The sequence below is a fragment of the Homo sapiens genome, chromosome 3 (assembly GCF_000001405.40).
Source record: "Homo sapiens chromosome 3, GRCh38.p14 Primary Assembly".
Lineage (NCBI taxonomy): Eukaryota > Metazoa > Chordata > Mammalia > Primates > Hominidae > Homo > Homo sapiens.
In genome coordinates, this window is record NC_000003.12 from 149556383 (window position 1) to 149573815 (window position 17433).

At 40.7% G+C, this 17433-nt stretch overlaps 1 protein-coding gene across 9 annotated transcripts in view; it reads right to left on the minus strand.

Annotated features, from left to right (window-relative positions):
• The window catches only part of WWTR1 (WW domain containing transcription regulator 1), a 207554-nt gene that overhangs the window by 39148 nt on the left and 150973 nt on the right, over positions 1-17433 (minus strand). For all 9 annotated transcript variants that reach the window (NM_001348362.2, XM_047447933.1, XM_047447931.1 and 6 more), the window contains one exon: positions 16482-16618. In NM_001348362.2, coding sequence (NP_001335291.1) covers positions 16482-16618 — 137 coding nt within the window. The remainder of the gene's footprint in view (positions 1-16481; positions 16619-17433) is intronic.

Genomic DNA, 17433 nt, shown 5'->3' on the forward strand with positions numbered 1-17433 from the left:
AGCCTTGCCAACATAGTGAAACCCCGTCTCTACTAAAATTACAAAAATTAGCTGGGTATGGTGGCACGCGCCTGTAGTCCCAGCTACTTGGGAAGCTGAGGCGGGAGAATTGCTTGAACCCGGAAGGTGGAGGTTGCAGTGAGCCGAGATCGCGCCACTGCACTCCAGCCTGGGAGACAGAGTGAGATGCCGTCTCAAAAACAAACAAACAAACAAACCATGAAGGAAAGAGGCCACTCCTTGGGATCAATGCCTCTCGGTTTGTTGTCTCTCAGCCCTGTAAAGTGGTTCAGGATCTTTGGGAAGGAAAGGAATAAGGTTTGGGGCAAGGATGGGGGAACAGACAGAAACCAAAGCAGCTCTGCTTTTAAACACTTACAAAGAGGAGATTCTGATCCCAAGCAAAACAAAATAAAAGCCTGTAGCTCTAAATTTTATTTGAGAAGGTGTGTCAAAAGGAGCTTCCTTCTTAAAAATGAAAACAAAACATACAACAAAAAAACTACAGTTCTGGATTTTCTAAATGTTATCCTTGAATCAAAATGCATATGTAGTATACACTCATTTTGGTCTTCTGTGAACACTGGCTGGTGCTCTGAGATCATGCCACTACCCAGTATTTAAAAAGACTATAGAAAACTTCCCCATAAAACTCCTAGTGTTCCCTACTGGAATCTTCTTTTTTTTTTTTTTTTTTTTTTTTTTTGAGACAGAGTTTCACTCTGTCACCCAGGCTGGAGTGCAATGGCACGGTCTCAGCTCACTGCAACCTCCGCCTCCCTGATTCAAGCGATTCTCTTACCTCAGCCTCCCAAGTAGTTGAGATTACAGGCGCCCACCACCACGCCCAGCTAATTTTTGTATTTTTTAATAGAGATGGGATTTCACCATATTGGCCAGGCTGATCTCGAACGCCTGACCTCAGCTGATCCGCCCGCCTGGGCCTCCCAAAGTGCTGGGATTACAGGCGTGAGCCACTGTGCCAGGCCACTACTGTAATTTCTTTTTTAAGGACATTGTCCCCTAGATCACAGAGTCTAGATGACTTACGGGGAAGTACAGGAGAACTCCCTCTTACATCTCTGTGTCTAGAAAAACTACATTTCTCTTCAACACCATGAAAGCCTTTATCTCTTGAGTGATCTGACTCCTATAACAGAGCATATTATCTTCTTTACAAGATCCCCCAGGAATCTCACAGCCAAATCTGTAGGTACCTCTAGCAACCACACAAGGCCCCATGGTATGCATTTTTTCCCTGGCTTTTTTTCTCAGCCACAGTCCTTTACCCCAACTTAATTCAATTATTTATTTTTATCCTTTTGAATTACATGTTTTGGCCAGGCACAGTGGCTCACCCCTGTAATCCCAACACTTTGGGAGGCTGAGGCGGGAGGATCACCTGAGGTCAGGAGTTCAAGACCAGCCTGGCCAACATGGTGAAACCCCATCTCTACTAAAAATACAAAAATTAGACAAGCGTGGCGGTGTGTGCCTGTAGTCTCTGCTACTGGGGAGGCTGAGGCACGAGAATCACTTGGACCAGGGAGGTGGATGTTGCAGTGAGCGGAGATCACGCCATTGCACTCCAACCTGGGTGACAGAGCAAGGCTCCATCTCAAAAAAAAAAAAAAAAAAGAATTATATGTTTTTTAAGATGCAAGAGTAGGGAACAAATGAATGGAAGCATCATAATTTCATTTTAAAACTACTCGTGTGTCAGTCACAGATTGCCCTCAATGAGAAACTTGTAAACCTGTGAATGGGCCCCAAGCAGTACACCTGCCAGTCTAGGACTCAGAATGAAGTGAAGGAGAAATGGGTTTTTTGTGGTCTTGAGTCACACTGAGACAGTCAACTGCTTGTGACTCTAATAAACATAGCCTACCTTTTGTAAATAAATTAAAAAAAAAACCTACCTGTGTGTATATAGCTGCACAGATATATTATGTGTCAAATAAATAATGTTCTGTGAAGCTTAACTGAGCAGGTTGGAAATTTTACTTGTTAGTCATCCCGAGGGGAAGAGTTTACATGATTTTAGGCCATACCTTATAGAGACCTGGTAGACCAAAAAGCCTTTCCACATATTTCATTAGCTTTACAGAACATATTCATTAGAGGAGCCATTTGGCACAAGCATGCTCTGCTGCCCCCACCCCACCTTCCATAGACACTACCTTCATCAAGTGATCAAAGCTAATGTCACCTATAGTGGAACAAATCGTGTGCCTCCTGATAGGATTCAATGAGAAGAACACAACATCACTTCCATGGTATTCCTGCCAAAAATTTATAACCTAAACCAAAATCACGAAGAAATGCCGGACAAATCCAAATTTAAAAATGATTCACAAAATAACTGGCCTATATATTCCTCAAAAATGTCAAGGTCCAGAACACAAGGACCGAAGACTTGTTCCAAATTAGAAGAGATTATGGAAACAGGACAACTAAATGCAATGTGAGATCCTCAATCACATCCTGGGCCAGAAACAAAAATAGCCACAAAGGACATCACCGGGACAACTGAAGACATTTCGAATCTGGGCTATTAGATAAGAGTATTGTATCAATGTTAAATTTCCTGATTTTGATACCTACACTGTGCTTATATAAGAAAATGTCCAGCTGGGCACGGTGGCTCACGCCTGTATTCCCAGCACTTTGGGAGGCCAAGGCAGGCAGATCACCTGAGGTTAGGAGTTCCAGACCAGCCTGGCCAACATGGGGAAACCCCATCTCTACTAAAAATACAAAAATTTGCCAGGCGTAGTGGCACACACCTGTAGTCCCAGCTACTTGGGAGGCTGCAGCAGGGGAATTGCTTGAACCCAGGAGATGGAGGTTTCAATGAGACGAGATCATGCCACTGCACTCCAGCCTGGGCAACAGAGCAAGACTCCATCTCAAAAAAAAAAAAAAAAAAAAGAAAAGAAAAGAAAAAAGAAAAAAAGAAAAAGTCTTTTGAGAAAATATAAGTATTTCTGGGTAAAGGAGAATGATGTCTCCAACTTTGTCTCAAATGGTTCAGAAAAAAAAATATGTAGATAGATAGATAGATGGATAGATGGATAGATGCAACCGTGGCTATGTTTATAAGCAAACAATTAACAAAGGCAGATCTGGGGAAAAGGTATATGGGAATTCCTTAGACTAAACTTGAAACTCTTCTGTAAGTTTACAATTCTTTCAAAATAAATAGTGACATTTAAAAAAATAAAACCTCTCTACACATACCTCAAACCTCCTGGAGACAGAATTCTCAGTCCGGCAGGGACCAGAGAAACTGTGTTATGTATGGGCCATTGTTCTGTGGCACTGTTGAACTTTGAGGAAACTCCTATTAAACAATGCTTTTGATAACTGATTGGAATTTGGATGGAACAGAATCCCAGCTGCAATCTGTGCTACATAATTCTGATACCTCATACTCATAGTTCCTTCCAGCCTCCCACCTCTATCCCCAACCCCAACTGTTAAATGATTCTAATTTTAAAACATAGACAGCCTAGGAAGACAGGACAAAGAGCTACCCCAACAGACCGGTTGGAGGTCTTTCAGAAGAAACGCCACTGGATAGCTGCCCCTGAGGACCAGACACCCAGAATAGGAAATTGCAGGTTTTCTTGGGAAGGACCTGGGACACCAAGAGAGTTGACTGTCAAGCTTGAGATCTGTTGTGAAAGGTCCTTACATCCCAGGGTCAGAGCTGAGACATTGCTCCATTTAGGTCTTCTTGATAGGAGGAAAAATGAGCAAGCTAAGAGTGGAGGATGGAGAAGGCACCAGTGAATGCAAACATATGAAATAGGGAATGCCTCAGGCGAAAGCCATCTGATTTTAATATATCGTAGTTTCGACACTGAGATTCCCTCAAATTGCAGGAAAAATATAATGTGTACTTAAAACTAGAGGAGACACAGAGGAGAGGAGAAAGCACAAGCAAAGAAGACATGCTGAGGATCCCAGAAGAGAAGTCTCCCAAGGGGCAGCCCTAGGCTGCAGTGACCCAGGCAGAAATGATATAGGGAAGGTGTCCAGAAACCTCCAGCATGGAGCCGCCCTGAGCATTTGTTTTGTTAGGATGGGATGATCCAATTCCATTTGGAGAGAAATTATAGTTCCATTCTAATTAATTCAGGCATTACAGCAGTTGATACGGCAGAAATTAAGAGAATATTTTTCTTGACATTTGAAGTGTGAGCTTTGAAGCAGCTAAATGAAGGCCTTGTGAACCAAGACTAAATCAGCCACATTAATTTTTTTTTAACTTTCTTTCTTTCCAGCGCTGCAAATATTTAAGTCTTGGCAAAATTCAAAACTCACAACTCACTCTTCACTGGTATCTGAGAAATATAATACTGAAAAGGAAAAGGACGAAAATAATATGGAATGAAATGCATGACATGTACTGGGAAGCAAAATAACTTCCAACGAAACTTCCATTTATGGCTTAGTCAAAAACATATGGATATACAAGCTGAAAAACAGAGTTAGTGGGAAAGCTAGGTGGCTGGTTAAAAATACACTTTTTGTGGTAATGTTACATTATTTTTTAAAAGAAAGTAACACCCCCCCCCGCAAAAAATCCCCTGCTCCAGGATCTTTAGACAATTCCTTAGTTTGATAAAAGCAAACCATGTCAAAATTGTATTTTTTAAGAAATGTTTATATTTTATTCAGAAACATTCCAAAGAAACTGGAAAAGTGAGGAAATTAAAGGTGGGCACAAAAATGTATGTGTGTGCAAGAAAATGTATTGAAACATCATTTATAATGATAAAAAATAGAATCAACCTATATGTCTCTCAATAGAAGAATTGGTTAAATAAATTATGGCATTATTGGTTAAATAAATTCACAAAAGGACTACTGTGCAGCCATTAACATGATGTGATGGTTTATGAACAAAAGAAGTATGTCCAAGTCTATTCATAAGTTAAAAAAAAAGAACATACTGAGAATCTAGTTTGTAGCTATCAGAATAGTAAAGGCTATAAGTTTAATCATAGATATTATTGGCCAGGGTACGGGGAAGAAAACACACTTTATTGGTAGGGGTGTCAATTGGTATACCTTTTTGGAAAGAAATGGAACAACAGTTTTAAAAACTTTAAATGTACATACTCTTTGATCCAGGAATTCCACTTCTGCAAAATTATCCTATACATAAACAGCATATGGCACAAGGATTTATGTCCAAGGCTGCACACTGTGGCATTGTTTAGTAATAGTGACCAACCAGAAAATAAACTAAATATCCAGCACACAGGACTGGTTAAACCAAGTACAGTATCTCAACGGAGTGGAACATTACATATTGCTGACAAACAATGAACAAATCAGTAAGTACTAATTTGGAAGGCTCTCTAAGATATGTTAAGTTTTAAAAAGACATACTGTATATGCCCAAGCATGCATGTGTATGTAGAGCATGTCTAGAATAATGCTCAGGAAGCTGGTAGTAGTGTTTCCCTGGAAAGGAGAAAAGGGCTGGGGGTCATGGTGGGAAGGAGACCTAATTTTTCATAAATACCCTTTGGAACTATTTGGATTTTTTGCCATATGCGTGTGTTACTTTTCTAATTAAAACAACTCATCAAAAAATATTATAGAAAAATATTTACTGGCCAGGCGCAGTTGCTTACACCTGTAATCCCAACACTTTGGGGGCCGAGGCGGGCGGATCACCTGAGGTCAGGAGTTCAAGACCGGCCTCGCCAACATGGTGAAACCCTGTCTCTACTAAAAATACAAAAATTAGCCGGGCATGGTGGCGTGTGCCTGTAGTCCCAGCTACTCAGGAGGCTGAAGCAGGAGAATGGCTTGAACCTGGGAGGCAGAGGTTGCAGTGAGCCGAGGTCTTGCCACTGCACTCCAGCCTGGGCGACAGAACGAGATTCTGTCTCAAAAAAAAAAAAAAATTACTGAAATGGGAAGATGCTCATGGTATATTAAAAACAAGCTACAAAAAAGAATATAGAGGAGTTTCCAACTATTTTTATGTTTGCATTGAAGAAAGTCAAGAAAATATATGAAAACACACTAGTGTCATTTTGAATGGTACCATGGCTTTTTATTTTCTCATGTTTTGCCAATCAGCATTTTCTACAGTGACCAAATAGCAATTATGTAATATGGAAAAAAATAACATTCTTGAATCTTGCTGCTTCAAAAATGTTTAGAACCTTTTTTTTTTCTGCCTTAAAATACAGACACACACACACACACACACACACACACACACACACACACACACACAAAGGGGGAGGGGTGATCTTCTTTTTAGCACTTAAGGAGAAAGACAATCAAGGCTTTTGTTTTCCTGAGGCTTCACTTAAATGATATTGTTTTGCTGACTTCATCCTGGAGAACTATTCAGAATAAAGCATGGAAGAACAGCTGTTCTTGACCACCAGCAACTGCAAAACACCCAGGGAATAAATTTAGACTTCCAGAAAGGAAGAAGAAATCAATCAGTTGGTACCTGGGTGGGAGAGGTGATGATCACACACAGGCGGGAGCAATATTACCAGGGACGCCAAAGAGGAGATCAAAGAGAAGTGTCAAAATATCACTCAGCACTTATCAATTTGGAACAAGTGGCTGAATGACAAACCACCTCGAATCCCACTGCCTGCCTTTCACCCTTAACTGGGTGAAATTCTCCATAGCAAGGAAGCTCCTGAGGGCAAACTTTTGGAAGTCAGCCAGCAAACAGGATGAAAATTGTCAAAATTATTTTTAAAACTCTCAACAGAGGTCTACAGCTCGGTGAAGAAATTAGACTCCATTACAAATTAATTAATTAACTAATTAATTAATGTGGTGCAAACAAAGAAAGGACTAAAAAAGAAAACAAGTTTGACCTAGCCTTCACCTTCCTAAAAGGCCTCCCTCTTCCCCAGGTGTGGGGGTGCTTCTCTGGAATTCGTCACGGTTTAGGCTTACGAAGGCCTGATGGATTCTCAGGCCCACTCTCTGCAAGCAAAACTGAAGCAGACTTGTACATTTACCCAGTGGATTAAACAATACATTTCAAGAATCTGGATCCCAAGCTATAATTTTCCTCCTCATTTTTGAAGTTTACTTGGAATATTTGGGGTCAAGATGCTCTGGGAAGCCGCTTCAGCATTCACTTACCCAATGCTCATGTGCGCACTAACACCAAGCACCAAAATGACAAAAGTCAATGCCCTAGTAAATGTCTATTTCAGACAAAGAATCAGTTAAAAAGTTGGTGGGCATACTCCAAGTCCTTTTCAGATAAATTAAAGACTGAACGATTGAGTAGGTTCTTGTATTTTTATTATACTGGCATTTTCCCATCACTGTGCTAACGTACACAATTCTTTTTTTGTTTTGTTTTGTTTTGCTTTGCTTTGAGGCGGAGTCTGGCTCTGTCACCCAGGCTGCAGTGCAGCAGCTCCATCTTGGCTCACTGCAACCTCCACCTCCTGGGTTCAAGCGATTCTCCTTCCTGAGCCTCCCAAGTAGCTGGGACTACAGGTGTGTGCCACCACACCTGGCTAATTTTTTTGTGTTTTTGGTGGAGACGGGGTTTCGCCATGTTGGCCAGGCTGGTCTCAAACTCCTGACCTCAGGTGATCTGCCCGCCTTGGCCTCCCAAAGCGCTGGGATTACAGGTGTGAGACACTGCACTTGGCCTTAACATACACAATTTGATTGTGGCTCCCACACCTGGCTGATGATCAGAGTCATCTGAGCACTCGAAAACAGCATACCTTTCCAGATTCCACCCTACATTTACTGACACAGAAATTTCCAGGGCATATTCCTCCTAGCAGCAGCCCAGGATAATTCTTTTGGGAGCAAACAAACCACTGTATTCTAAAAATGTATGTTTAACAAATGCCCCCAAGTGATCCAGCTAGTGGTAGATCTGGACCACGCTTGGATAAACACTGATCTTAGAGACTAGTGAATAATCTATTTGCCACAGGCAGACTTGCTCAACTGCAGAGGCCTGAGCATTCTTGGTTTTGTCTTTAATACACATGGGGCCTGGAGCCTTTTTTCCAACACACTGTTCTCCTCTTCCACCACAAAAAGCTCAAGGTTCTCCCCTGTTGTTCTCACTCTTTTTTTTTTTTTTTCTCCTTTTGGCTATTACAAAAGTAATATAACCGCATTACAGAGAAAATAGAGGGAATCACCCTTAACTCAAAGGCTTAACTATAATCACTATTAACATTTAAAAATACATAACTGACTTACTCAACACATTTATTCTACAGAAGAGTACACCTATGATGCCTAATGAGCTTTGCTTGGGGCTAGAAATACACAGATGGAGATCAAGTTCCTGTCCTCAAGAAGCTTAGTCTTGTGAAAAAATGGAAAGAATCTAAGCAATGTGTTTTTCAAAAAAATAGAAGTATAATTATAGCATAAACAATTTGTCATGCTGTGTAAAATTAGAATGTTACAACAAAGTTTTCCATGTGTCTACATGGTCTATATCCATTATTTCACTGCTTATAAATATATTTGTGGCTAGGCGCAGTGGCTCAAGCCTGTAATCCCAGCACTTACTTTGGGAAGCTGAGGCAGGTGGGTCACTTGAGGTTAGGTGTTTGAGACTCACCTGGCCAACGTGGTGAAAACCTACCTCTACTAAAAAGTACAAAAATTGGCTGGGTGTGGTGGTGGGCACCTATAATCCCAGATACTCGGGGGCTGAGCTGGGAGGATGGCTTGAACCTGGGAGGCAGAGGTTGCAGTGAGCCGAGATCACACCACTGCGCTCCAGCCAGGGCAACGGACCAAGATTGCATCTCAGAAAATAAATAAATAAATAAATTTATTTATTTTCATATTTCAGGCATTTGTTTATTTACTGGCTATTATAACTAACACATCTTTGTGTATGGTTCCCAAAATATTCACCTAGCATACTACTTTTTTTTTTTAAGGAAAATTGTGGCATCAGACATTTTTCATGGCTTTTATTATTTCTTATCAAAGAAGAAATTTTCTACCTAAATTTCTAAATTTCATATAATAAAACCTATAAGTCTCCATCACCTAATCTTAATAAAGACTCATCCACATTAAGATAAGTGGAACATAGCCATGAAAACATAAGATTTATTTTTTATATGCTATTATGTCCTGCTTTATTACATAAAAGGAACTCAATCCGTTGATTTGGTAATTTTTTTCAGTCTCATTTCACATATTCCTTAAAAACCGTAAAAGAAAGGAACTATAAAGAATGTCCTTTTCAGGCCGGGTGCTCGTGCCTGTAATCCCAGCACTTTGGGAGGCTGAGGTGGGCGGATCACCTGAGGTCAGGAGTTTGAGACCAGCCTGACCAACACAGAGAAACCCCGTCTCTACTAAAAATACAAAATTAGCCAGGCATGGTGGCACATGCCTGTAATCCCAGCTACTTGGGAGGCTGAGGCAGGAGAATTGCTTGAACCCGGGAGGTGGAGGTTGTGGGGAGGTGGAGGTTGCGGTGAGCTGAGATTGTGCCATTGCACTCCAGCCTGAGCAACAAGAGCGAAACTCTGTCTCAAAAAAAAAAAAAAAAAAAAGAATCTCCTCTTCGAAACCCCAAAGAAGGTAGCCTTCAATAATGCTGATTAACTAGAGTGTATTTGACAATAGATAGCTTCCTCAAAATCTAAGAAAATTGAGGGCACAGTGGCTCACACCTGTAATCCCAGCATTTTGGGAGGCCAAGGTGGGAGGATCACTTGAGACTAAGAGTTCGAGACCAGCCTAAGCAACATGGTGAGACGCCCCAATCTCTACAAAATAAAAAGAAAATTGATTTTCTACAGTGTTTAGAAAACTTTTCCTTCTTTTTTTTAATCAAGAAAATCATTTTTAAATAGAAACCTTTCCCCCTGTCCTGTGCCCACCAGTGTTCCTTTTCTTCCATAAACACAAACTTTCCACCACAACAATCCTACAACACCTACAACACCCACAACACCCAACACTTCACTTCCACCATCTCCCAAAAAGTGTATGGGTATTTTTTTGTTTGTTTGTCTCTGGGTTTGTGCGTGTATGTGCCGGTGCACTTTAGGCTAATCTATGCTGCATAAACCACAAAGTTCCAAAAGCAGTGAGAACATCAGAGCTGGAAAAATCACAGTAGCCAGATGTGTCTGCCGTGAACTCACCATGTAAATTTGATTAAGAAAAAAACTAATGGAAAAAAAGGAAAACATAAGATGCCTAAGTAGAAATCTGACTTCTAGTGAACTTTCAGCATGTCTTTCCAAGTGCTTTAAGCAACCCAGGGCTTCGATATCCCTTAGCTATTTTATTTGCTCTTGATACAATGCTAAGCCTCTTTGTATACTTCCTAGAGAGAACAGCAAGCCAACTTAGCAAACTGAGCACAGACAAGATTTTCCATCTTGTCTTGAAAAGTATGCCCTGAAAAGAAAAAAAAAAAAAAACACACATGTGTTTATAATTTGAAGTACAGCTCGAGACACAGACCTGGAGGACTTAGACTCTGGGCTGGTGGATGGCACATCTTCAAAGGGGTAAGTAAGTGCGTGTGTGTGCATGTGTGTATATGTAACTTTAAAAATTTCCTATAGTATTGAAAATACACTCTAGTTGCACTTTACCAAAAGTTTCTGAATTGGCTAGGGTTCGCAGGCTGGTGAAGTTGTTATAGTCTTTATTTTTTCCTGTACTGTCAGGAAGGATACTAGCATCTCAGGTCAGGGTCTCATTCCAACAAAAAGCCTCATTAGTGTGTGACAGCAGCTCAGCACACCATGGTTTATGATCACTAGGATTATCACCAAAAAGGCAAAAAAAAAAAGAAAGGAAAAAAGCATGACACTTTCTTTTGGTAAAAACATTTTAAAATATGGAGCTACTTTAAGTTGTTGCATGTTTTCAGTATTTGTCTGCTGAGGAATGGGAAAATCTAACACTTCACTACTTGCAGAGGGGAAAATGTTCTTCACTTAGAACTCAGAAGTGTGACTGCTCTTCACAAACTCCCTCTGTGAATGACCTGACAGTCACAAGCTTGCTCCTCTTCATCTTCTCACAATTGCTGTCCGAGGTTAAATGTTATTTTTTGGTACCACACCAGCTAGTTTCACAATTTGTAAGCAAAAGTGCCCAAACAAATATAAGTTGCAGTAACCATGGTTGGGTCTTCCTGAAGGAGGAATGGAATGGCTTTCTAACAGAGCATATCAAAGGATCTTCCTCTGATTACACAGGAGCCAGAAAGGGGAGGAAAAATGAGGCAACTGGCTAACAATAATAGCTATAACAATACAAGTGCTGGCAGCTTACTATACATCAGGTACCAAGACATGGACTACCTAAATACTCAAAACAACGTTATCAGATAGGTACTATCATTATCACCATTTTACAGATAAGGAAAATGAGACTCAGAGGTTAAATAACCCAATACATAAACGTCTAAATTAAGAGAAACTCAGTTCTGACTTCAAGTTCTTCCAAAACAGTCCCCACCCTCCATCCCACTTCCATGCCCACTTCGCCACCACTCTAACCAAGGACTAAGATCTGCAGCAGGCTTCATTTTCTCAAGCCCATTGTTTTATACATTATAACAGAGCCTGTGTAGGCAGTCTATTTTTTTCCCTCTTTTGTTTCCCTCTTATTCTCTTTTTTAAAATTTTAGTAAGTATTAATAGTAAGGAAGGCCCACAACCTACTTAAAACATACAAACTTCTGGCTGGGTGCAGTGGCTCACGCCTGTAATCCCAGCACTTTGGGAGGCTGAGATGGGCGGATTGCCTGAGGTCAGGAGTTCGAGACCACCCTGGCCAACATGGTGAAACCCCATCTCTACTAAAAATACAAAAATTAGCTGGGTGTGGTGGCGGGCGCCTGTAATCCCAGCTACTCCAGAGGCTGAGGCAGGATAATTGCTTGAACCTGGGAGGTGGAGGTTGCAGTGAGCCAAGTCTAAAGTCCCCCAAGGTCGTCTTTTCTTCTTCCATTTATTGCATATGTCTGGGAATTCAGGCTTAAAGGCCATTACTCTGCTCAGACAGAATCCAAATTGGTAAAGCCTGATTTGGCAAATACAAAAACTAAAATTTTAGTTTTAAGCTAGACGAAACTGGAGATGGCTATTTGAATTAAAGTGCAAAAAAAAAAAAAAAAAAAAAAAAAAAAAAAAAAAAACCATATTTTTGCAATTTTCCCCTTCAGAGCTTATTTCATTTTACTTAGACTCAGTGTTCAACAAATCTGCCAACCTGCAGAAAGAATCCTCTGTTTTTACAAAGTCACTCACTCCAGGATGACTAAGTAATGGGTCTTTCCTCTTGCAATAAAAATATGGTTTGATTTACAAGTCGCATTACAGGAATACATCTAAAGCTCTTTTTGTTGTTGTTTTTGTTGTTGAGACGGAGTCTCGCTCTGTCGCCCAGGCTGGAGTGCAGTGGCGCAATCTCGGCTCACTGCAAGCTCCGCCTCCCGGGTTCACGCCATTCTCCTGCCTCAGCCTCCCGAGCAGCTGGGACTACAGGCGCCCGCCACCACACCCAGCTAATTTTTTGCATTTTTAGTAGAGACGGGGTTTCACCGTGTTAGCCATCACGGTCTCGATCTCCTGACCTCGTGATCCTCCCACCTCGGTCTCCCAAAGTGCTGGGATTACAGGTGTGAGCCACCGCGCCCGGCATCTAAAGCTCTTATAAAAAATAAGGTGTCTAGTGATAAGAAGTTTCTCCTGGGAGAGGTAACTTAAACATTTCCACCAGAGGGCACTATCCTCACTGAAGGTAATGAATACATTGTTCCTAATTTAAAACACTTTGCAATCTAACCAGCCCAAAATAAATCATTTTTATTCTAGAAAGCACTTATAAAGAACAGTTAAATTGTCTTAAAATATAACATGCTATAGTTAAATAAAATATAAAATATTTTTTGCCATAAAAATAATGATAATAAACATATATTTTAGCTTACTATGTGGCAATCATAGTTCTAAGCACTTTGCATATATAAACTCGTAAGTTCCTCATATATTAATAATCCCCATTGTACATATGATGAAATCAAAGCACAGACAAATAACTTAAGGGTCACCAAACTAGTAACTACAGAGCCAGGATTCAAATTCTGGCAGTCAGACACCCAAGTCCATGTACCTAACCTACAGAAACATACAGGGACCAAATACAAGATTTGTTTCTGAATGTAGTTAACTATGCCACTGATTATATCACGGCTCTAGAAATAAATAAAATTAGTTATAAAAGGTACTATTCTATCATCTGATAGTAATGCTATTAACTGTATTTTGACATCCTTTTCACATGTATATAAATGCCTTGCATTAAAGAAGACCTATCACTTTAGTTCACTTATTTGACAGCTACATTCCATTGAAAAGTACCAAAGTTCTAGATTTAAGAAGAAGGAAGAGTGGGAGGAGAAGAATCTGCTCTTTTCTTTTTCTAGTTTTTAAGAGTTGGGGGTCTCACTATGTTGCCCAGGCTGGCCTCAAACTCCTATGCCCAAGAGATCCTCCCACCTCAGAGCCTTCCAAGTAGCTGGGACTACAGGGATGCACCTCTACACCCAGCTCTGCTCTTTTTATTTTTATATGTTTAAAGATATATAATAAAGACTATGAACCACAGGCAGAGTTATGGCTTGAAATGAAATAGTCTGAGTAAATCATTTATTATTCTGACTGTATTGAGACTCTCTAAATTAAGTCCTGGTCTTTGGAACTTACTTGGCATTCCAAGTTGTATTTCCATCCTTCAGACACATCTGTGATTCTCCATAAGCTAGAAACACACTTTGCAATGGGCAAATACACAAATATTGTTGGAAAAACCCCAGAATGTGCGTCTTGAGAAATTCACTGCCTTATTAGAAATCTGGAAACTGCTGGGTGCCGGGTCTCACGCCTGTAGTCCCAGCGCTTTGGGAGGCTGAGGCAAGCGGATCGCCAGGGGTCAGGAGTTCGGGACCAACTTGGCCAACATGGTGAAATCCCGTCTCTACTAAAAATACAAAAATTAGCTGGGCGTGATGATACATGCACATAGTCCCAGCTACTGGGGAAGCTGAGGCATGAGAATTGCTTGAACCAGGAGGCAGAGGTTGCAGTGAGCTGAGATCGTGCCACTGCACTCCAGCCCGGATGACAGGGTGAGCCTCTTTCTCAAAATAATAATAATAATAATAATAATAATAATAATAACAAAAATTAAATAAAAATAGAAATCTGGAAACTAAGGTATTTTACTGAGCTACAGGTAAATTTGTTTCAGAATGTTCAGATTACAACTTCTTTAGATATACTTTACTAGTGCAATTGGACTTTGTGTGTGTGTGTGCATATGCATGCATGTATGCACATACAGGCAGACTCACATGTGCCTTCAATATCTAGTTCCAAGCATTCAAGCTTCTTTTAATTAGTCCACTTCCTACATATCGCACAAATTTTAAAAATTAAGGAGAATGCATAAAAGAACATGACAAAGGATATCCACTCCAGTATTTGTATGCTAGCAACACACTAGTAACAACCTAAATATCTACCAGATAGGAGTTAGTTAAATAAACTAATTATAGCATATTAATATAGTAGACTAATAGGCAAATTTTTAAAAGAATGAAGCAGCTCTATATGTATGGACAGGCAGGTGAAAAAAGCAAGATACAGAACAGTGGTTATGATATGCTAACCTTAGTATGATTAAACATACACACACACACAACTAGAAACACTGGTTGGCTCCAGGAAACAAACTTGGGGACTGAGGAAAGGGAGATTGGAGGAAGTGTTTGAATTTTTTTTTCTTTTCTTTTTTTTTTTTTTTTTTTTTTGTAAACTGGGTTCATGAAAGATTTTTTTCCGATTATAATTGATTACAAAGTTAAAGTTAAAACTTTAATAATCAGTTTTTAGAATTTTCGATGAAAATTAAATGGTTAAACAAACTGTAAAAACCAGTCTAATGCCACCTAATTTGGGGTCTCTTTACTACAGTGGCATCTGATTTCTACACGAGCTCCTGTATATTTGGGACAAAATAACTCACTGGAGGCTTTGGTTTACCACTGCTGGTACCAGAACTGGTTGCATTTTCTTTGATCTGCCCTTTAGATAAGGAACTCCACAGAGGTTGTTCCATGTCATTTGCTTTTTGGAAACTGTACATCTGCAAGCTTTAAAGCAGTAGGTTCAGACTTCCTGGAAGAACTGACACTTGAAGCTGACTAGGGTCTACTTGAGTTCATACTCACTTTGGCTAAGCCACAGTATGAGGGAAGGGTGTCCAGGAATAACGCTTCCATTTTTATCTTGTTCATTCCTGAAAATCCAACAGGAGATTCTTTTCACTCCCTAAAATTAACTGTTCTGTGTATAAAGCATATCTGGATATCTGATCTTAAATGGAAATGTTATCTGAAAATGGCACCAACTTTTCTAAAACTTTAAAATTGGCCCTTTTTTATTTTTAGCCCTGGGGGAGAAGGAAGGGAATGATTACCAAAAAAGCTGACTGGTTCCGTTGCTGCAGTGTATTAATTCACTGGTGATTATCTCTAGTGGGGATAATTTTAGCAGAAAATATTCTCTTCTCAAGTCTAAAATCGCACTTATTAAGTATTGTAAATGAAGTAAAAAGTGAGCCATATTATCCCACGGCAGGTATGGGGAGAAGCCACCTGCAGGTTATGTAATGGTTAACTCCCTTCTAAAATCAGACTAGCCTGCTCTCCAGCTCTGCTCTCCACAAGCTGCAAGACTTTCGGAAAGTTTCTTCATGTATAAACTGGAGAGCCTGCTACTTTTTGCAGGGGTTTTGGAAGGCTTTCATAAGGTAAGGCATGGAAGCACTTGGCATGCTATCTGACACATGTTATGCAGCAATTATGAAAAAAAAAGGAAAAAAGGGAAATAAGGATAGGGATTTGAGACTAGAATTGTACCTGTAGGCAGTCGCCAGGAGCCAAAGTCACCCAAAGCGTGTATGTGTCCTACTTGCCTCAGGCTAGATGAAGACAGGAGGCCTAACTGATTTTTCTACCCCAATTAAGGCCATTGGAGGGAAGGTCAGAACTGTAGTTTAAAACTGAGGCAGCAGTATCATGAGTTGGTGGTAAAGAGACCAAGTAAAGAAGAAAAAGCCGGCAGAAGGGTAACACGGTATTGCAGCCAAGAAGAAGGAGCAAACACCGTCTGGGTGCATGAAGAGACATAGAAACAGCCAGAACCACTTATGAGCCCCGCCACCCCTTGATTGAACACCATTTCTTCAGCTTGGAGTCAAAGCTTGGGGCTCCACCAGGCACAGTGGTTCATGCCTGTTATCGCAGCACTTTGGGAGACTGAGGTGTTAGGATTGTTTGAGCCCACGAGTTCAACACCAGCCTGGGCAACAAAGGGAGACCCCAACTCTACAAAAAAAAAATATCTTTTTTAATTTTAAAAAAGCTTGAGGCTTACCGAGATTTGGCTGGGATACTGCCATGGACCTCTGAGGCACTGGTGTGGAACTGACGGCAGGGTGGAGGTTCATATGATTCAGAGGCTGATTCATCGCCTTCCTAGGGTCTTGCCATGTGGTGATTTTTTCTATGTGACTAAAAGAAGGAAAACAATTAATTATCTTTTTAATTGTCAGCATCATTATCATCATCACCAACAACAGCATAATAGTTAATGACACTAATTCTTCCCTTAGGATCTGCTTGAGTGGTTGATAGATTGTGCTTGGTTTCATCCAAGGACATACTTGCCTATTTTTCCCTGCATCCTGGTTAGGCCACACTGGGGATTCTGCAAGCAGCTCTCTAAACACAAGCCCAAGACATCGCTGTCCAGACAGCCCTTGCATGCAGTGAGCCCCAGTGAACTTCCCCTCGGCCCGTGGAGCTTGTATTCCCCAGCACCTCAGTTGCTTCTCAGCCATCCAATCACTGGAGTGCCATAGTGTGAGCTCCTTCCTGGAAGGGGAGCCATGCTCACCTTCCCAGCCAGTACCCCATACTCTCCTGACTCATAGAATTGACATAATGAGGATCCCTTTGGCTGTCATCAAGCAAAAGATGGGCCCATGAAACCAGCTTCTGAACACCACATTAGTGAGCTCTCACAGTAGGAGTGTAAGGTATTTCAAGGTCCCCAAAGGTGACACATAAAACCCTCAAGAAGCTCACTGTCACCAAGCAAGGTGACAATAGGGTAGCTGGAAGGCAGAGTATTAGAAAATAATAGTAGGAAAGTCAACTAGTGCCAGCTTATGGAGAAACTTAGATATTGAGGCATGAAGGTTTACAAGGGAGAAGACATGATTACATGTTTGATCACATACAACTTCCAGTTTGTTACTGTGACTTAATCACAGAGAAACTAACCCAACATGAAACATGAGCTTCTGCTCAGAGTTTCCAGTACA